Genomic DNA, 21747 nt, shown 5'->3' with positions numbered 1-21747 from the left:
GGGCAGAAGGCAGGATGGGAAAGGTGTGCACATTGTCACAGAAGGTGAGCTCTCAGAGTCCATGCAGCTCCTCGGTGCAGTCTCGGGGCCAGGCCGGCTCTGGAGGAGCACTGTCAAGACACAGGTACTCCTGAGCCAACACCCAAGATTCCGCACACCAGCTTTTAGCCTTATCCTGTAGAGTGGCTTGTACTGAAATGTTTGTGTTTGATTCTCACTTTCTATTCCCTTAGTGAAGATCCCATTATCTCTAACAGCTGTGTGTCCAGAAAAAACATGAATTTTGTGTAACAGAAAAGAATCCCATACTTGTTTCTCCAAATAGCCTTAGGAAAAACAATTTAATCTCACTTTCTTTATTTATACTATAAAGACTTTGTGCGGAAAGGGGATAGGTACTTTAAGGTGGGAAACTTTTGAAAGAATGAATTAATCTCTATAAAACAGAAGGAAGTTTATAATTATTACTATTTTTTAACAGCCTGGACCAAAAAAATGGAACAAATGTGCCACTAAAATAGTATTTGAAATTTACCATCTCCAGATAAATTCATAAAGGGGAAGAAAACCAAAAAGGTGACACACACTGCTTGTGTAAGCTTGGAAATTGATTTCCAAAGCATCAGAGCTCACTACAAAAGAACTTCACAGTTTAATTAGGATGGCTGAAATCCAGAGTCTATATTTAGGATAAGCTGGAAATTACAGTGTAGAAATGAGAATCATCTAGCAAGAGCCGAAATGGGGAGGGAGGGTGTCTATGGAAAAATCACCACAGCATTTTTCAGCTAACCATAAAATGTCTTAACTTTGTGTTTCTCTGGACACACACTAAATAATCTCTAATGATTTTACCTTTTCAGCTGAGGAATGTGTGTTTTAAATTTGCCTTCATACATGTTACCCACATTCTCAATACCTGTATGATCTGCTTAAGTGCAGATGAATTTGGCATTTAACTCACAACATATCAAGAGAATCTCATTAAAATTCTGAATGTATATAAACATATTTTATACCATTAATATTTTGGCTTCTTATTTTTAAGTGGTTGGCAAAGTACTCATGGCACTATATCATTAATTTCTTAAATATTCCTGTTTTCTTCTCATCATTGATATATCATCAAATAAATTAGTTCATACCCAAAATGTGACAGAAAGAACCATATGATTGATTTTTTTTTTTGAATTTTTACTTCTGGAAATGTTTAAGATGATTTTGTACAAAATATATTGGCTTACAATCTAATAATTTATTAGAGGAATACACGATTATTCATGACCACAATTATGGCTTCTGGATGTTGAATGAGGGTGTTTATCTTCTTCCACTTTTTCTTCTTTATAGTGACCTGGCTCTGAATTTAAATATGCTTGTCAGTAATTTCCCTAAAAGCCGTTTAAATGGTCTAAATAATATACTCAAAATTGTTAAGAAAATAAATCGTTTTAGCAAACTGACCTCATCAGCAAAGATGCTCTAATGCACAATGACTATACAGGCAGAAAGACACAGAGAGAAATAGAATCGCAAGAGTAGAGTTTGAAATTCATTTAAATTAAAGTTACTTGCTTTGGCTGAAGGTTTAATTTTAAATTACAAGGAAGGAAATACTCCAGGTAAAATAGCTCTTACTTAATTTTAACTAACAAATTTCAGATATCCAGCTTAGAGCTTCAGTGTGCACTAGTCACCTACTAGTGAATTAATTTATCCTCATTAATTTTGCAAAAGTACACACGTGGCCCTACTCCATCATTCCAAGGCCAGGCCTCTCATTCAGTGTGATGACTCAAATTTTAAAATGGCAAGAAATTAGCCGAATTCCAGCTCTGAAGACCCAATCTAATTAAGTTGAGTTTCCTTGCTTTTATGTTAATGCTAATTGAACAACGACTATATGACAGGTACAGCAATTCGCTCCTTTAGTCCTTATTACTTAGTGATTGTTGTTGGCATTCTACAAATGAATAAACTGAGGTTAAGTGTGATTTAGTAATTTGGTGCCACAGCCTTAATGTAGACTACACTTCTAAGCAAACATTGTCCCCGTGCTGTGCCGGTCACTGTTTTGATCTCCAAGGAGGCAGTGTCGGAAAGATGTAGATGACTGTTCCAAGACTTTCCTGACATTTGGATGAAAAAATGAGCACTGAAAGTGTCTCAGAGATTGAAGGTTAAAGTAACAGAATTGGTGGTTATCTTTTGTGAGGAAGCAGGAAAGGGGGTCGTGGCTGAAATAACAACTCGGGCTGCCATCAATTTCTATCGAATTGGCTGCTGTATGGAACATTCTGCAAATCTTACTGCTTATTTTAACTCAAATGGAAAACCCTCAGTTTTTCATCCTCAAAAAACTGTCTTATACTTTTAAACCAATGAATCCAAAGCAGAGCCAGTGATTTCTGCAGCCAGGCAGGCAAAGCCGTCAGTCACGCCCACTCCAGGTCCCAGTGGACCCAGGGAGCGGCTCCCCGGCAGGCAGAGCGGCCCCCGGGCTGGAAGCTAGTCCTTCCGCATGCGCATGCGCAGGCGCTGGTGTGGCTGGCAGGCACCGGGAAAATAGAGAACTCAGGGGAGGGGCAAGGTCCCTGGCATTGAGGAGACTCACCCAAGGAAAAGTTGTGCCTAACACTGCCACCGGGTGGTCTTTCCTGGGAGAGATTTATTAAAATAAAATAAAAAAAATCTCCTAGGAAGTTTCCCTGCTGATGATAAGAATCTAATGAAGTCTCAGATGTATCATAAGTTTGCACTCTAAATGACTCTGGAGGATCCCACCAGCCAAATCCAGAATGTGCCAATCTTCAGGACATAACCTGCTGATTTGAACAAACTGATGTTAGGAAAGAAAAAAGAATGAAACGGAGGTAGTAAGTAGAAAGACAGGCAGGAGAGGGTCACTATTTATTTCAAGACTACCTAATAGATCAATGAAATGCACTCAATGTATGGATCTTTTATGGGTCTTGATTCAAACAAACCACGATTAAAAGTTACCTTCGAGCCAATGTTGGACAATTGGTTAAGACCTGGGTAATTAGATGACATTAAGAAATTATTGTTAATTTTGCCAATAATGGTATCGAGATTAATTTTTACAATGGGGGAAGGGTTTTAGCTATGAGATAGAGAGTATCCATTGGTGAAATGATGTAGTATCAGGGATTTGCTTTAAAGTATCCCAGAAAACAGTGGGGCTGGAATAGATGAAAGGAGACTGGAAGAATGTTGATAACCTGTTGAATGTGGAGGATGAGCACATTGGGGGGGTTCTTTTCTTGTTCTTTAGGCCAAAATACAGTATTTGAAAATATCTACAATAAAGTTTCTTTGCTAAGTTGCAGGGGAAATGATTGATGACTCTAAGTTAAGTAAAATACTATATAAAGGTTGGTGCAAAAGTAATTGCAGTTTTTGTCATTACTTTCAATAGCAAAACCTGCAATTACTTTTGCACTAACCTAATATATAAAAATATTGCTTTTTTAAATCTACCTTGTGGCAGTTTCATGAGCATATCACCTTTCTCTTCACACACAGAGACACACATATTTACCATATTAGTTGTTACAAATGTCATGTGTATTGCTGTAAATAACTAGGCCTCAAATCCTACCAAAAACTTGGCTTTCGAAGTAGTAACAACTTTATTAACCAAAGCATTCACAATTCCACTTTATAAGCCTAGCAATATTAGAAATCCATTTTGTCCTCTCTGATTAAAGGCTTTTCTCAGTGAAACACTTTATACTCTCTAATTTATATATTTCCCCTTCATTCATTTCTATGACATGGAAAGATAGCCAGTATATGAAATGTCTACTTCTCTTTTTTTAAAGCTCATTCCTTGGACACATGTAAATATATGTCTCTAGTACTTGAAGGAAAACATCATTATTGTTGATAATGATACAACATAGTATCTGCATTCTGAAAGTCAAGTTGATATTCTGTATCTAAATTCCAAAAGAGTAGCACTCACACAATAAGATATTGTTTATATGCTCAGGAAATGAAGAAAATCAGAGCATTCTCATAAAATTGGGCACCAATCTGCTTTGATTTTCCGGCTTGAATTTCAAGAGTGACAACTCTGCCCATAGTGTAACCATTCATTTACAAAAAGTTCGAGATATTTTCTCCAAAGATTTGTATTAGTTTTTGATGTTCTGTTTTTTGTTTGTTTGTTTGTTTGTTTTGCTTGGGAGTGGGTGGGGTGGAACGTAAATAAACATACCAAATATGTTCGGGGCAGTGGTAACCCTCCTTGTTAATCAAGTGTTTTGTTTCTGAATCGAGACGATCACTTCAGGGGATTAAAAAGTGCTGAAAAATCATTGGATACTTTTCAATTTTCCCGTAATTACCATTTCTCTTACCCAAAAGAGGAGAGCTGGTTTTGCTTCACAGATTTCAGGGAAGTCTTCATCTCTGATCATATACTCATGCAGAGAGACTTCCACTGGCCTCTCATTAAATTACTAACTTGGTTACCAGAATAACTTATTTCATCTCTCAGTTTCCCTCATTTAAAAATGGGCGTGAATCATACCAAGGTTGTGAGGATCCAGCTGACTCTATTCCCTCAAAGTGCCCAGGGAAAAGTAAGCCTGTGAGAGCAGCAGCTAAGCCCAGCCAACAGGCAGGGCCCACTCAGCTCTCACCCCACTGCCCGCCTTCACACTCACACCCCAGATGGGACCAGTCTCTGCCCAGGGGGAAGAAACGCAGGCAAGATTATGACCTCCTCCCCGTCCATGCCTTTCTAATTCAGGGCTTCAGCATCTTCTAGTCCCTCTGCCTAGAAACCCCCCCATCAATGCAACTGGCCAGCTCCTGCTTTTTCCTCAAGCCTCTGTTAGCTGCTCGGTAACCCCACTTCTAAGAAGGTGAAGTGCCCCAAAAATCTCCTTACAATTCCTGACTTTTCAATATGTATTGTTGAACAAGAGTAGTTGTTGAATAACTAAACACCACTCTCACTGGATGGTGAGTTCCAGCAGGGCCGGGGTGCCTGTCATTTCCACTGCTATGCCCCATGTGCTTGGCACATAGGAGGTCCTGAATAAATATATGTGACAGGAGCTTGCACTCTATAGAGAACATACACAGCTTTACAGAAAGCGACAGGAGGGACAGCCAACATGCCTCACAGGAAGGTACTGGGAGGGGGTCAGTTGTCATAGGAGGCTTCCAGGAGGAAGTGTCTTTCTCCAAGTGAGCAGGCAATTGTAGATACACGGAGAGATGCAAAAAGGTAAGGGCAATCATCACTGCAATTTATTGATTGTTTACAACGTGCTCAGACTATTCTAAACAGTGAAGTGAACATGTATCATTTTTTCTAACCCTTACAGTAGTCCTGAAGAATTAGGAACTATAATAATACCCACTGTACAGGTGAAAAAACTGGGATACGGGAAAATTAAGCAGATATCCAATGTCTGGTGCTAGTGGGCAATGGAGTTATTTATTATTTATTATTCATTTATTTTGAGATGGAGTCTTGCTCTGTCACCCAGGCTGGAGTGCAGTGGCGTGATCCCGGCTCACTGCAACCTCTGCCTCCCAGGTTCAAATGATTCTCCTGCCTCAGCCTCCCGAGTAGCTGCGATTACAGGCATGTGCTACCATGCCCGGCTAATTTTTTGTATTTTTAGTAGAGATGGGGTTTCACCAGGTTGGCCAGGCTGGTCTTGAACTCCTGACCTCGGGTGATCTGCCCATCTCAGCCTCCCAAAGTGCTGAGATTACAGGCCTGAGCCACCATGCCCGGCCAATGGAGTCATTTATGAGCATACGTGGGGTATCTGGGGACTGTTCTCCTACCCACTAGGCTGTGCTGCTTACAAAACCCCCAGAACAGTGCCTGCATCCCAGGTCTGTCTATAGCTGCAGGGACATCCACAAAACACCCACACCTAGAGAAAGAAAGAGAGACACGCAGAGAAAGCATCTTTTCTTCTAACCTATAGTGCAAGCACTTACTTTTTGGCATTTCTTTTAGCCTGTAGAACAGGTCTACATGTTAATAGGTGCCCCAAAATAGTTGCTGAGTGATCAAGTAGGAGGCTGTTACCTAACCTCCTGCTAAGCGTACAGTGTACCCATATACATATCCTGAAATATAGCTGCAATGAGTAGTTGATTAGTAAGAGCATTTATAGGAGTGCTCATTATTCTTATAAGAGTACGTATGAGGATAGGAGTGATGTGGCTTTAGACAAGTTATTTAACTTCTCTGTGCCTCAGTTTCTGCCTCTTTAAAGTAGGATTACTAGAAGTACCTGCCTCATGCTGTTGCTGTGAGGGTTAAGTGAGAAAATCCATTAAATGTGTGCAACACTGCCCAGGCCTCATTCGGCTCATGTGCCCTGGTACACTAATAGTTCTGCACTAGTGCTGGTATGCTGCTAGCTCCCAGTGACCTGGGCCATTTGCTGGAAGGGGAGAACAGAAACAATAATGGAAAGTAGCCCTCTGGTCTTCCTAGAGGCAGTCTTCGAAGAGCACATTCAAAGCCTCATTTCCTTGCTCCCAGTACATGGGCTTTCTTTGCACCCGTGGCTCCAGCCATTGCGGATTTTCTCCTGGAGAAGGAAGCACTGCTTTCCACCAGGTGAGCAGAGCAGCTGTGGCCAGGAGTAATCCAGGAGTCTCAGAAAAAGAGAAACAAGGACACTCACAACAGCAACGTGAAGAATGGAATGGTTAGGCCAGACATCCCTCTAACCTCAGTGACTGGACAGTGAGCCAGTGCAGGAGGGGTGGGGAAGCCCTACTTCCTATTGCCTCCTGACCCTCCAGCCACCTTTGGCCCTGCAAGACCAGCAAAGAGATCCTCAGCCTGAGATGTCAGCAGAGGGCAAAACAGGCCCAGGCAGAAGACAGCCAGTCAAGAGGAAGAAAACACATTTGGCCCAAGGCACTGGCCCTGCTCCAGCCTGGATTGACCATCCCACCTCCCATTCAGGAGGGACTGCCAAGCAAATCAGTCCTCCCGCCTGGATGCAATTAGCTATCGACAGGCTCTGGGAATCTGCGGGCAAATGTGCCCATATTGCAACCTTAGTTCTTTTCCAAAGCCAAAAATTTTTTTAAAAACCTTCTGCAGGGGCAGAAATATCTGAGACAAGGTGGCCTCTGCTGAACACCAGGTCACCACGGAGGTTCCTGGTCATAAACTGCTATCCATTAATCACCCTGACAGGGGTAATTACAAAGCAGACATTCTACAAAGGGAATGTTGCATTTCCATGCTACATGGGAACTGACAAGGGAATGGGTAATTGGAAACATTTTTGGAAAAACAAATACTATAATCCCAAATTGCCTTTAATTAGAAATATAAGCAGGTATGCATTTCATCCATTCATTCAATCAATATTTATAAGGCATGGTATAGTAGGAGAGAAACTTTTAAACAATAAGGATTTGGAAAGAAGAGTAGTACAGAAACATTTAGGCATAAAGCATTTACAAGAAAAACATTAAAACACAAATGTAAGCCTTGGTCTGTGCTTCCAAGTGTCTTGCAACTAAATGGGAAAACGAGTTATATACAAGTGTAGAGGTAAAGGTCAATATAAGCCCACTGTAATGCAGGTCCAGTGACTGGTCCATCCCAGCAGTGGCATAAGGGCTTGAAGGAGTGAGATGTCATTGATGGCTGAAGACGTTTCACGCAGAGGCTGGGACAATAAGGACTTTGAGAGGCTTGAGTAACAGAGAGAAGAAATTCCATCTAGAAAAGAGTGAAATTTATTAGAAGAGTCACCTGGTTTTAGAGAAGAAATTATGACCGAGAATTATGGAGAATAACATGGATTAGGTAGATTGGAACTGTGTCATGAGCAGATGAAATCCCCAACAATGTGTCAGATTATGCTCTGTCATTTGCTAGTAAGAGGGACTGACTCTAAGTGACTTGAATAAAAAGGGAGAAAAAGAGACAACTTACTGGAGGTGTCATGGTATCTCCTGACATGGCGGATCTCAGCAGCCAAGGCTCAGGACGCACAAACCCTGGCACACATCGGGGAGCCATGGCAACAGGAGACCTTAGCACGGCCTGCTGTTCATGTTCATGTGACTACCTGTCCATGACATCTGATCTCAGGATCTCTCCATTTTCTGTAAAGAGTATCTGTTTGTATACATTGTATCAAAAGCCCACCCTCTTTGTCAACAGCTATGGCCAAGGGGAGGTGTCAGTGGCCCCTCCATGTATGTCATCAGCATCCCTGGAAGGGGCAATGGCTGTGATCCAGGCAACCACCCAAAGGGAGGGTGGTCCGTTGTTGGTTGTTGGGTCTACAATGGGCCAGGCACTTGGCTCTATGATGAGCAAGGTGCACACTGTCCCTTCCTTCATGGCACCGAGAATGGAGTGACATCATCTCATTCCGAAGTTAAGTCCATCCTCCAGGAAGTGGGAAATCGCAAAGATATGCAGCAAGGAAGGAACAAAATTAAAAGGTGGCTTTAAGAGGAGCTTTCTGTCAGTGGCATGCCCTTTGGTTTGGAAGGTCAATCTAACTTGAGGTCAGAGATGTATGTGACAGGGATTCCCAACGAAATTCAAGTGTATGGTAGTGCCATGCCATTCTGGGCCCCCCTACAATTCTGACCCTGTGGATCTAGGTGGAGCCCTGGAATTGGGATCCGGGGAAAGCTCCCCAGAAGCCAATGAGGTAGGAAACTGAACTAGTAATCCTGATAAGCAGCTGTGTGAGGGCAGCAGGTAGACACAGAAGATAGTGCAACATTGGAAACGGCACTGCAAGTTCAAGGATCTGTTTAGATACGGAAGATAGTGATGAAGGAGAAATTGAGGTGATCCCAGCAATTCAAGGTTCAGGAAAAGGGGACAGCACCATCAATCGGAATAAATAATGCAGAGAGGGAGGTAGGAGCATACAGATAATAATTCTGCATTTGAGTTCTAGCAGGACATCTGAGCAGAGATGGCGAGTAGTCATTGCAGGGGGGAGCAGGGGAGGGGAGTACAAGACTTAGCCCAAAGGAGACAAGTGAATTATCCTCCTAGAGGTTATACTTTATATATGGGTAATACTATATAAACAGAATGTATTCAAAATGATATTAAAATATTAGAACGATAATGAAATCTAAACAGTATTTCAGTGATGCATCTGGATTCAGATGTAACTAACCATGCTAGATACTTTCCTGAATACATTTCATTTAACCTTCGCAATTACCCTGTCATGGAATGGAGTCTCAGAGCTCTAAATTATGTAAATTGTCCAAAGTAACATACACATAGCGAGATGGAAGCAAGAATCTGAATCCGGATTTTCAGATTCTGCATTCTTTCCATGCCATCAAGTTACCTCCCACAATGAAAAAACAAACGAACAAAACTACCTGTCCAAACAGTCAGAAAATAGGACAAAAATTGATATAGCTATTGCCACCTTGAAATGGAGCTATCTATCCCTTTAACGTCCATATGGATAATTGTTCTGCTTTAGCTCCCATTTTAAAACTTGGAAGATCTGGTGAACTTAGTTCAAAGACAACAGACACCGCATGCTCACAGCATTGGACTCAGTGGTGGAGGGAGTTTTTAAAGCTGCTGCGTGTCATTGCTGCGGAGCCTGTCTGCAGTTTTGGTTCAAGAACCTTTACTGGGGCTCGGCTTGCCAAAGCACAGTTCTTCTCTTCTCCCGGTTTTAATGACTCCACAGTGACACCTGCTGGGAAGAAGGAACTGCTCAGGCCCGGGTCCTCTGCAGGATACTCACAGGGCCATGCTGAGGGGTTTGCAGGGCCATAGAGCTTTGGCTGTCCCCTGTGCTTCTGCAGGGGACGCTTCTGCACGGTTGGTGTATCACATGGAGACTGGAGCTCTGCCACACGATTAATACCCAGACCCTGGTGCCCCTCGGAGTTGGGCCGGAGTCCCAGCCTGGCCCCAGATCAGTAGAGCTCCGTGGGACTGTCACGTGCAGAGGACACAGACATCGCCTCAGTTGCCCTCTTTCCACTCCAGCTCCCCGATCCGCCTCCGCCTGCAGCTGTTAGTTCCTCCACCACAGGCCACTCTTGATGCCACTATTTGTTTCCCCATGGATCTCTGTGATCCTGCACTTAGGAACAAAGTAACACTGAAAAAAAAAGTCCCCTGGCATCACTGAGAAGAAGACGACTTCCGCAGAAAGTGCCAAAATGTTTTAGAAATAAACGGCAGACAACAGAGTCGTTGCATATTTCACTAGGCAGGATAGTAATTTATGTAATGTATTTTTAACTGTGAGAAGTGATGGGGAAACCACTTAAATATAATGTGAATTGAAGATTTGTCAGTTATGTAGTTCATGCAGTGGCAGATCTAGAAAATGTTATAAAAATTGAAGGATTACCAACAGAGAATGCCTAAAATCAGAACTCTTATTCGAGTTCTAACTCCCCCTATCTCAGGGAATTCTATGCTTTCTGGGAATATTTTGCTTTCTGTGAAAGGAGCTGGAGTTATACATTGTCTGTCAAATGTTCTTTTTTAATCGGCCTTCCTCATTTTTGTTTTAATTCCTTGGCTCTTTATTGCGTCCTCTATATGAGCCTGATGCTAACTCACGCTACCTCACCCCCTATGCCTCAGGATCACTTACCTGACCCACTAACGCCGGTGTTTACATTGGTTCCTGCCCCGTTTTAGGTGGAGGGGCCCTTCGGAGAACAATGGTGCATTCACCAAGTCTAGATTCCTCTGTAGAAGAGTTATATGCGAAGACGGAGTCTACTTTTTTCCTGGAATATGTGCTGCAGGTACCCAGGTTACAACAATCAGGAAAATGCAGCATCCACAATATATGGCGATTTCGCACTTAGGCACACACCTTTTCCCAGAGTTAAGCAAGTCAATAACTCTCTATCTCATATTCCCTTTTGCCCCTCCACCTCCCACTCCCTCATCCCTCCCCAAGGCCTCCACCCTTCGAGATGTGCTCAAAAGCCTTTTGGAAAGTTCCTGGGTTTTCAATGGAAAGATTTCTTTATAGATGAAATGCGCCCTCTAGTGGCAGATGTAAAAGTTGCAGCCTCTATTTTTAGGATTTGGGGGATGTTGGTTTCTTCTCCCCGTGAGGCACTCAGAGCTACTTCTCACTAAGAACAGATGCAAATCCCATGCTTTGTTGCTGCTTTTTCTCAAAACAATTCTACACTCCCAAAGTTTGCAGCATCCCTGAGAATATGTCTTTTGCCTATTATAACCTTATGACTCATTCTCCTGTATTGGCTGCCAGAAAATCAATCAGGGATCCTCTAACCTTCTGTGCTTCCCTTGTAGAATTGCTGGGCTTCTGACTTCAGAAGTCGCACGCTGAGAGTGATAGCACCACCTTGGCAATTCATCAGGTGGATAACAAACACGTATTTCTGCACTCTTCTCACAGAGGACTAGTTTCACAGTGTGGCTAGCAACTAGAGCTACATTGCATTTGAGTTTTGTGGTATTTCAATTTTTACCTAAAAAGTCATGTTGGTCATATGTAATACCTACACTCTTGTTTTTATGCTCCAAACAAAAAAGACCAATTTTGAAAATTTAGGATAGGTGCTGGGATCTAAAGTTTAGATCTTTAAAATCTACTCTTTTAGCACCTTGATTTAATAATTCCACTATATAGACAGGAATTATTTTTGTGTGTATATATTATATATATATATATATATATATAGCAAAACATCACAATGTACTCCATAAATATATATAATTATTATTTGTCAATTAAAACTAAATGGTTTAGACCTTCACAATAGGTATGATGTGAAGCCACTAAAAGCAAAGAAATCGGAAATCAGCGCTAATCCAGATGTGCAAATTGCTCTATCTCCTTCTTTTCCAAGCATTTCAGTCCATTGAGGAAGTCCAAGTAGCCACTTAGACAGCTTTGATGTGATCTGTGGGATCCTCATCAGTCAGAAAAAAATGGCAGGTATTTAGTACCCACTGTTTATGCCATGTGAAACAAACATAATTACAAAGGCAAAAAGAAGAATCCTGGTCACCTAGTGCTCATGCAGAAGGCAGCAAGACAAACAAATAAAAATCAATTGAGAACCTCTTTATCAGAAACAAACACACAAGCACAATTACTACTAGTGTCTTGATGCTATATGGGGTATTACTAATCATGAATGCATGGTATTCACTCAGATGAAATACAGGACTCTGTACAACCTTGGCGAAGATGGCAGTTTTTTAACCATCCTTGACTTCTCTCTCATTCCTTTATTTTTCACAGCGACAGTGTATCTCAAATTCATTCTCTTGCCATCCTTCCTCTGCCAATGGCTTGGTTGAGGTCTCATGGTCTCTCTGCCTAAACATCTGTGAGACTTTATGGACTCAAACCTTCTACATTCATTTCACCACAGGCCATTCCACCAATTACCCCACAGAACCCCAGAACACACGTCTGAACTGATTTCTACTTTTAAAATGGTCGTCCAGCCCCTGTTGTCCACTTCAACATTTGCCCCAAGTGTTTTCAGGATTTTGATTCTTCAGGTTGTTACTACTGACAAATGAAAGGGGCACCCCATTAGGAAAATAGCCAATGCACACTGCGAATTACCAAGAGGCAGAGAGGACAGATGGAGGCAGTGCCTAGGTCCTTCCATCCTGGAGCCCTCTGAAGAGCCTTCCCTGACCACCTGCAGCTGAATTTTCAGCCCTTCCCCCTCTTCACATCGGTACCATTTTATGCATGCATTCTATACACATGACATTGCATTACACTCATTTAGTTATGTGCTACACACATTGTGAAAATAGGAGCCCTTAAGAGGAGGAACAATATGTAGCCATCTCAGTAGTCCACTGCACCAAGCAGTGAAGCTAGGGAAACCAAAATCACAACTTCTAGAATCAACTAAGTTAGACCTTAAGTTAACAACATAGCTATCCCTCAAAAGTAATAATGGAGCTTCACAGTTTCCTGTTTTGAAATTGAAGACTTACAAAACCTACTTCCGTGCAGCATTAGAGAATTAGGTTTATCAAGAAAAAGGGAATAAGACTTCATGAATTTATAAACAATCATCCACTGATGCTGGGGCAGGGCCAGCTTCCGGGGTAGGGTTACCTTGGGCAGTCACACAGGGCCTGGCGCTGAGAAGGGCCCTGCACTTTGTTTAGTGCTTTGCTGCCGCCGTCTTGAAATTCTCAGTAATTTTTCAACAAGGGGCCCTGTGTTTACATTTTGCCCTAAGCCCCATGAATGACGTAGCTAGCCCTAAGGGTGAGGAACCCTCAGAAGCCACTTCTGCCTCCTTAAACAGGTAACTTCCCTGGAAGTCTCCTGCCCAGAGCAGAGAGAGAACAAAACCAGCCTGCGTGGTTGGGTCTGGGGAAAGCAGGAGAGTGCAGCTAGACCCAAGGCCACTTGAGGTACTCAGGGCCCATCAGCCCCATTCTGCTCTACGTGGTCAATGTGAAATGAACCAAGTGATCCTGCAGCAGCTCCTCTTGCTCTTCTGCTCTGGTATCCACCATTACTTTATTAACCACATTTCACGCAGGAACCTTGGCACTATCAAGGTGACACCACAACAGCCCCCAGACCCCCTGAACCCCCCGAACCCCCCACAGCACTGACACACACTAAGATCCTACAGGGCCCACGCTGGCCTATTCCCTCAACTCTGCCATCAGTTTCAAGAGTTCCCATATTGAATTTTCTAACAGAATCTCCACCCTATTAACAACAGCAAATCATTCTTCAATGTATCGGTAGAATCTAGTCAATGCTTTGCTGTTCATGCTTTTCTTCTCTCTAGTTTAAGTTAAAAACAAATAACGTTTTTCTTATTTATCTTAATGAACAACTTTATAATTCTTGACTTTTTAGGGATTACAGCCCCCTAAATTGGAAAAACAAAAAAAAACCCACAAACTTCACCTTCTTATGTCTAACATTTGTTTTTCAAATAGAATTGGGTTGGAACTAATGTTCTAAGAATTAACTATGACATATGAAGAAATTAGAAACACCACAGGGTATCAGAGAACTGGGAGTGGAAACTACCTAAGAAAACAATTAAGGTTGGAGGGAGGTACCATAATAACACAGACCTCTCATCTGCAGCTGGTGTTCAGGCACAGGGCAGGCAACATATTTCAACTGATTGTGAGGCAATGCTAAGTTTTATGTGTTGCACTCAAGAGAGGTCCTGTCTCCAATCAGAGCATTAAATGCATTCAGAAATAAGCACTGGATTGGAGAAGCTTGGAATAGCCATCAGGATTCCCAGTATAAGGCCAAGGACTGAACGCTTTCTATTAATGGCCAACCCTGCCATGACTGAAGGCTGAGAAGTTGTCTGTGGGGCAGCACAGCTGACAGAGGCCGAGTTCTCTTCCTGTGTCCTGCTCTGTGTGGCACTCTGAGTGAGTCCTTTAACAGATCTAGAATCAAGGCCCTCCTTCATAAAAGCAGGGAGTGGACAAGCAAACCAGCACTGAGAACGCCTCTGAACACTTGGCTTTGTGCTTTTTGTTCATGGAATCTTGGGCAAGTTATGCAGCCTCTTTAAACTTGCCTTTACTAATCTGGAAAATGGGAAGACAAAAGCATAGCACTCACCTCATAGCATTCTTATAAGGATTCAATGAGATCATTGTTTAAAGTGCTTAGTCCAGTATCTGGCACTTAAAACACTTCAGCAAAATGAGATACCATTATATACGTATTACAATGGTCAAAATCCAAAAAACAAACAGCATTAAATGCCAGTGAGGATGTGGAACAACAGGCATTCTCATTCATTGCTGGTGGGAATGCAACATTGTGCAGCTACTTTCGAAGATAATTTGGAGGTTTCTTCTAAACCTAAACATATTCTTATCATATGATCCAGCAATTATAATCTTTGTATTTACCCAAATAAGTTAAAATTTGTGTCCCCACAAAAATCTGCACATGGATGTCTATTGCAGCTGTATTCATAATTGCCGAAACTTAGAAACAGCCAAGATATCCTTCACGGGGCAAAGAGAACTGTGGTACCTCCAAACAATGGAATATTATTCAGTGCTAAAAAGACATGAGCTATCAAGCCATGACAAGAAATGGAGGAACCTTCAATGCATATTACCAAGTGAAATAACCCAATCTGAATGGACTACATACTGTATGATTCCAACTATAGAACATTCTGTCCTTGAGAAACCAAACACCGCATGTTCTCACTCATAGGTGGGAACTGAACAATGAGAACACATGGACACAGGAAGGGGAACATCACACACCGGGGCCTGTTGTGGGGTCGGGGGAGGGGGGAGGGATAGCATTAGGAGATATACCTAATGTAAATGACGAGTTAATGGGTGCAGCACACTAATATGGCACATGTATACATATGTAAGAAACCTGCATGTTGTGCACATGTACCCTAAAACTTAAAGTATAAAAAAATAAAATAAATTAAATAAATTTAAAAAAAGAAAATTCTGAAAGGCACAAAGCTATAAAAATGGTGAAAAGATCCGTGGTTTTCAGGGGTTGGGTGGAATAAACAGATGGAACACAGAGGATTTTTAGGGCAGTGAAACAATTCCGTTTGTACTATAATGGTGGATACATTTGTCCAAACCCAACACCAAGACTGTACAGCACCAAGAGTAAACCCTCAGTAAACTATGGACCTTGGGTGGTTATGATGTGTTATGAAGGCTCATAAATTGTAAGAAATGCACCATTGTGGTGGAGGATGATGGTAACAGAGGAGGCTGTGCCTGCGTGTGGGCAGGGAGCACATGAGAAATTTCTATACCTTCTACTCAATATTGCTGTGAACCTAAAACTACTGTAAAAAATGTCAATTTTAAAAATCGAGTCACGATTATTATTATCTAAAAACCCTTCTACCTTTGGATTCCAATGTTACATGTAGCCAAAATATATTTGTTGAATGAAGTTACCATTTGCCAAGCATTTGTATTATCCTGGCCTCCGGTGGTGAATTTGCAGAGATGTCATAATTCTTCCTGCTGCATTTAGCATTTCTACAGCACTTCTCCCTGATCTTGGGTTTTCTGTGAGCTGTTACAATCACTGAGCCTTTCCCATCCCCGCCCCCCACAATTGCTTTGTGTGCAGCTGATTACTATTATTATCCTTAATTTCCAAAGGAGGAAACAGGCACAATAAGTCCTCATCTAGGAGGTGTTATTTGGGCATAAATAACACCTCAGGTGAAACGGGTGAGGCCCAATTTGCATCCTGGCATTAAATTAGAAATAGACCCCAGGAATATTTTATTCCTAAGGTAACAACCGGCAAGTGGAAAACCCAGAGTGATTAACGAAGGATGCTTGGCTTTTGTAACAGCTTGGTAATAAATCGAGAGTTCAAGTCACCTGCTTATATGCTGGACTGCTCTGGACCTGCAGGAGCCCTGAGCCTGTTTTCCTGGTGTGAAATATGTGGTGAGCCTGACCAGCAGACTAAGTATTCAGAGACCCTGGATCTACAACCCACTCTGCACTGTCACAGCCATATGACCTTGGCAAGTCCTTGAACATTGTTAAGCATCAGTTTTGTTTTGTTTTTCTATTTGTAGCAATAACACTCTCATGGATATGCACACCTCCCAAGGCTCACCTATATCTGTTGAAATGAGACGGTGCATCTGAAAGTGGGTTGGAGACCATGGGGCACTGGCAGACGTTTTTACATTCCACTTCACTTCCATCCCCCCATCTTCTAGATTTCTGTTTACAGCAGAGGATCCCAAGAGAAGATCAGAAGGAAAAAAAAAGGGAAATGTTACAATATACAGAAAAAAACAGACGAGTCCTAAGATGGTAAATGGATGAGGGTTTTTTTCTTTACAGAGACTGTTGTGCATGAAGTTTATCAATGGATAATCCTTCAGCCTTAGAGTTAGGCCCACGGCAAAGTAGGGATGGCTATAGGCAGCCATGTCATTGCCAGAGATATATTTAGACCTATATACCTTTGCGGTCACACTTCGTAGAGCAGGGAAATTAAAAATGCAAGCCCACCCAATGACTGGAAACACTGAATCCTTGCTCAAGATATGTATATACTATTTAACTTATGTATTTATTGAACTCATAATTAACATAAGGTTATCTAGGTTCCATGGCTGACCCAGGTCCCATTTACACAAATGGGATAAGTTACTGACTTAGCAGACCTCATCTTAATCAATAGAATCAATGGTGCCATCACCAGAAATAGGATATGTTAATATTTTATGTCCTCTGATGCAATGCGTTGGGAAGGGCACATGGCCTCTGGTGGTATTCTTTCCCAAAATGTATGGCTCCAATCTATCAAAACATCAGACAAATATAAATGAGACATGCTGGACAAAGTCCTTGACCAGTACTCTTCAAATGTTTCAAGGCCATGAAAGACAAGGAAAAACTGAGACATTGTCACAGATGAGAGGAGAATAAGGAGACATTGCAACTAAATGCATGGTGGGATCCTGGACCTAATTCTGGAACAGAGAAAGGATATTGGAGGAAAGACTAGTGGATTCCTAATGAGGTGTGTAGTTTAGTTCTTGGTATTGTACCAAGGTTAACTTAGTTTTGAGAGTTGAACCATGGTTTCCTGGGATGTTAACCTTGGGGAAAATAAATCAGGGTGTGTGTGTGGGAGCACTCCATTCTCTTTGCAACTCCTCTATACGTCTAAATTTTTTCAAAATTAAAAGTTTAAAAAATAAGCACGATGTTTGACCTGATTTTCTAGTCCCCATGCACAATTCCAGGGAGAAATTAGAACTGCAATTGGATCTGGTGATGGGAGGGGGATGATATCTAAGTTGTCTAAATTGAGGCAAAGGCTCAAAATTAACATGGTTGTTATTCCTGCAAAAAGTCTATCTATGACTGATTTATACCAGACTATGAACAAATAACTGAGAATTAGTTCAATAAGCCCCTGCCAGCAACCCTCTTCTCCCTAACCCACCACTCCTCCTCCAACCTCCCACCTGCCTGAGAAAGGGGAGCTCCTCCCTGAAATCATAGCATGTTCCAATTTTTGTGTAAACCACGGCAAAGGCACTGACTCTTTTCTTTTTGCATTGTTCCCATGAAGTGTGCCATTAGGGGCTCAGAATAATAAAGACTGCTGTCATAATTAAGCTCCGGGATGTATTTCAAAGACTCACAGACATTAGAGATGAGAAAGACCCAGCAGGTCATCCAAGCCTGTCTCCCTGCCAGTGCAGGATGGCTGTGTGCAATTTGGAAGATCTGTTATCAGGCTATAAAAATTCTAAACTATTCAAAAAATTACCACATTGTATAAATTATAATAAAAAGTTTACCTTATTCCTGGGCAATTCTTGAGTGTGTGTGTGGTGGGGGAGAAAGTAAGTCACTGAATAGCTTTCTGAAAACAATTACTGTCCTATTTAGAATATATTTTCCAAGGTGAAAGTATGGTTATTTTCTGCTCAATGTGACAGCCTGCGCTTATTGTTATGCAAGAGTTGTCTCCCTGCATCTGATAATTTAAAATTTAGCACTGACCCCAGCTGTCCCTCAAATGATATTATAAATGTGCTTGCAATAGTTCCAACTTCTTCTGGCTTTTATTTAAGTGCTGGACTTGAGCACAGTTGCATAGGATTCTGCCTCTGGCTCAGACATCCTGGCCCCAGTATCTTCGTTCTTTAAGAATAAAGCCTGGAAGGAAACACTTCAAAGGCCTTCAAAGAATGATACTCAAGGCACTGCACCTTATTAAGCTGAGTGAGGTCTTTTTCGATGAGAATTGTGAAATGACTGTGATGTATGTGTTGATTTACAATCCCAGTAGAAATGAACAAAATAACTATAACAATACCAAAAGTAGGATGTAATTTCAAGGGGAAGAATTTAGAGGAATATTGAGGAGAACTACTTAAATGAAAGAGTTAATTTATAGTCCAGAAATACATCCCTGGAATACATTTGAATTCTGAACAAAATGGCATAGTGGAATAAAGAATGTAGGCGGATAGAATCCAGTGAAATACATGACCACTGTATCCATCAAGAATGGCTATCCGTCTCTCACTCTGTCATGCCAGGTATGGGGATATGAGAGCATGGCAATATGAAATATATCAACATTTCCCACTGTCTTCTTGCGTTTTCTCTACTTGGCATACACAATTCACCTTTACATAATACATATGAAACTGTAAGCCTTGTCCTATGAAAAGAAAGAACATTGTCACAAGGAGAATGCCTAGCTCTTCTTTGCCATCAGTTGGTGGTTGGGTGTCCCAAGTTTGCAATAAGTCATGGTGAAGACCCCCATTAAGAAGCATATCCCAAGACCCAGAAGTTCTGCATCTGGCATCCTTCATCACTCTTCTTTTTCTTTTTTTTTTTTAGACAGAGTCTAGCTCTGTTGCCCAAGCTGGAGTGCAGTGGTGCGATTTCAGCTCACTGCAACCTCCACCTCCCAGGTTTGAGCAATTCTCGTGCCTCAGCCTCCCAAGTAGCTGGGACTACAGGCATGTACCACCGCACTGAGCTAATTTTTGTATTTTTAGTAGAGACTGGGTTTCACCATGTTGGCCAGGCTTGTCTTAAACTCCTAACCTCAGGTGATCTGCCCACCTCAGCCTCCCAAAGTGCTGGGATTACAGGCATGAACCACCATGCCTGGCCCACCACTCTTCTTCTTTTAAGATGACTGCATGTTAACACATCGGTCGTGTATGCAGGGTGGATCCTGTTTACCTTTGTGTATCAAACTTTCATTTGTTAGTTGGTTAAAATGTAGAATACATAACAAATGCTGGCAAGGATTGTGGAGAAAAGGGAACACTTGTCCACTGTCAGTGGGAATGCAAATTAGTACAACGACTAGGGAGAACAGTTTGGAGATTCAGCTACCATATGATCCAGCAATCCCACTGCTGGGTGTATACCCAAATGAACAGAAATCAGTGTAATGAAGAGACATCTGCACTCCTATGTTTGTTGCAGCACTGTTCACAGTAGCTAAGATTTAGAAGCAACCTAAGTGTCCATCAACAGATGAGCAGATAAAGAAAAGGTGGACATACACACAATGGAGTACTCTTCAGCCATAAAAAAGAATAAGATCCAGTCATTTCCAATAACATGGATGGAACTGGATCATTATGTTAAGTGAAATAAGCCAGGCACAGAAAGACAAACATCACGTGTTCTCACTTATTTGTGGGATTTAAATATCAAATCAGTTGAACTCATGGACATAGAGAGTAGAAGGATGATTACCAGAGGCTGGGAAGGGTAGTGGAAGGGTAGTGGGAGGGTGGAGGTGAGGATGGTTAATGGGTATGAAAAAAAATAGTTATAAAGAATGAACAAGACCTACTATATGATAGCACAATAGGGTGACTATAATCAATAATAACTTAATTGTATATTTTTCAATAACTTAAACAGTGTAACTGGATTATTTGTACCTCAAAGGATAAAATGCTTGAGGGGAGGGACACCCCATTCTCCATGATATGCTCTTTTCACATTGCATGCCAGTATCAGAACATCTCATGTACCCCATAAATATATATACCTACTGTGTACCCACAGAAATAAATACATAAATAAATACATAAATACATAAATAAAATCCAGAGCCAAAAAAAAAGCACTTGGAATTCAGTTTTTCAAAGTCCCAGTGTTGTAAATAAAGCTTACTTCCCATGTTAGCCCACAAAATTCATGATTAGAGCTAGGATCATGGCCTTGACCATATCTATACACAGAACCCTTAAAACCCAAGTGCTGAAAGCCCCATGACTTCACACAGCTATCAATGCCTGATGCCAGCAATTCAACTCTTCACTCAAGTGTTGAGTTTCCACTCCATAGAGAAAGCATAGTAATTTATATGAAGTGGTTGTCAAAACTTGATTGTTCATTAAGTCTGAGTATTGTAGTTCTGAAAATAATAGGTAAAGATTTAGACACATGAAAACAGCAAAAGCAGTAAGACATCTCTGTGACCATAACAAGGAATGGCAGGCCAATGAGAAATCACATAGACTGCAGAAGACATAAACTCTTAGACAGAACTGGGTGAACACTAACATCTCAACAAACACAGCTTTCTCCATTCCCTTAATGGTATACAAGCAATACGAACACACTTCCCTTTACCCTTCAACTCTCACTCTTACCGGTAATATGAACAGTAACCTATTGTGGGAAAACTGCTCCTAAATTTTCCTTTTCTGTTTTGGTTTGGATCTTTGGGTTTCCAAATATGGGGAAACCTTCAATGCAGTTTAATTGGGGGAGGAGAGTGGTCAAGCAAAATATGTGATGCAAGAAGGGAAAGCCTCACAAAAAGCCAAGAACAGGAATCATAAAGCCCCAGGCTGCCTGGATCCTGGCACTAGAGGCAGGAAAGCTCCAATGGCAAAAAAAACTCTGGACCATTCCAGAGTCCTCTGCTATCCGATGGACTCCTCTATACTCTCTGTGTGGGAGGCTTTCTGACCTGCTGGCAAAAGCTCCTATACTTTCTCATGGTCTCTGTCACCTAAGCCTTGTGCCCATGCCTAGCACATCACTATCTCTACTCTTTCCATGGTGACTCTTGGCACATCCTTCAGGGTTCTGTCTTCTAACACCTTCTGATATTTTCCCAGTATAAATTGCTGTTAGGATAGAGATGGGGGCGAAAAGAGAAAGAAAGGTGCGAGAGGGAGAAGAACCTGACTGCCCAACCC

General features: G+C 41.7%; 1 protein-coding gene across 3 annotated transcripts in view, besides 1 other annotated feature; it reads right to left on the bottom strand.

Annotated features, from left to right (window-relative positions):
- Positions 1 to 7323: 7323 nt before the first annotated feature.
- TMEM182 (transmembrane protein 182) overlaps positions 7324 to 21747 on the bottom strand; it is a 106904-nt gene continuing 92480 nt past the window's right edge. For 2 of the 3 annotated variants that reach the window (XM_017003376.2, XM_006712287.2), the window contains exon 5: positions 7324 to 7750. In XM_017003376.2, coding sequence (XP_016858865.1) covers positions 7587 to 7750 — 164 coding nt within the window. In that variant the 3' untranslated portion in view covers positions 7324 to 7586. Of the gene's footprint in view, positions 7751 to 16643; positions 16754 to 21747 lie in introns of all 3 variants that reach the window. The other variant, XR_427070.3, reaches the window with a different exon arrangement.
- Positions 9822 to 9871: an enhancer, noted in NCBI's record as "active region_16308". NCBI's record gives its function as "activates an Ori minimal core promoter by ATAC-STARR-seq in GM12878 lymphoblastoid cells {active_cell/tissue: GM12878}" and the evidence as "EXISTENCE:reporter gene assay evidence [ECO:0000049][PMID:35858748]".

Source organism: Homo sapiens, chromosome 2 (genome assembly GCF_000001405.40).
Source record: "Homo sapiens chromosome 2, GRCh38.p14 Primary Assembly".
NCBI classification, from domain to species: Eukaryota; Metazoa; Chordata; class Mammalia; order Primates; family Hominidae; genus Homo; species Homo sapiens.
Note: the sequence above shows the minus strand (reverse complement) of the source record. Positions and strands in the feature narration are given on the sequence as shown.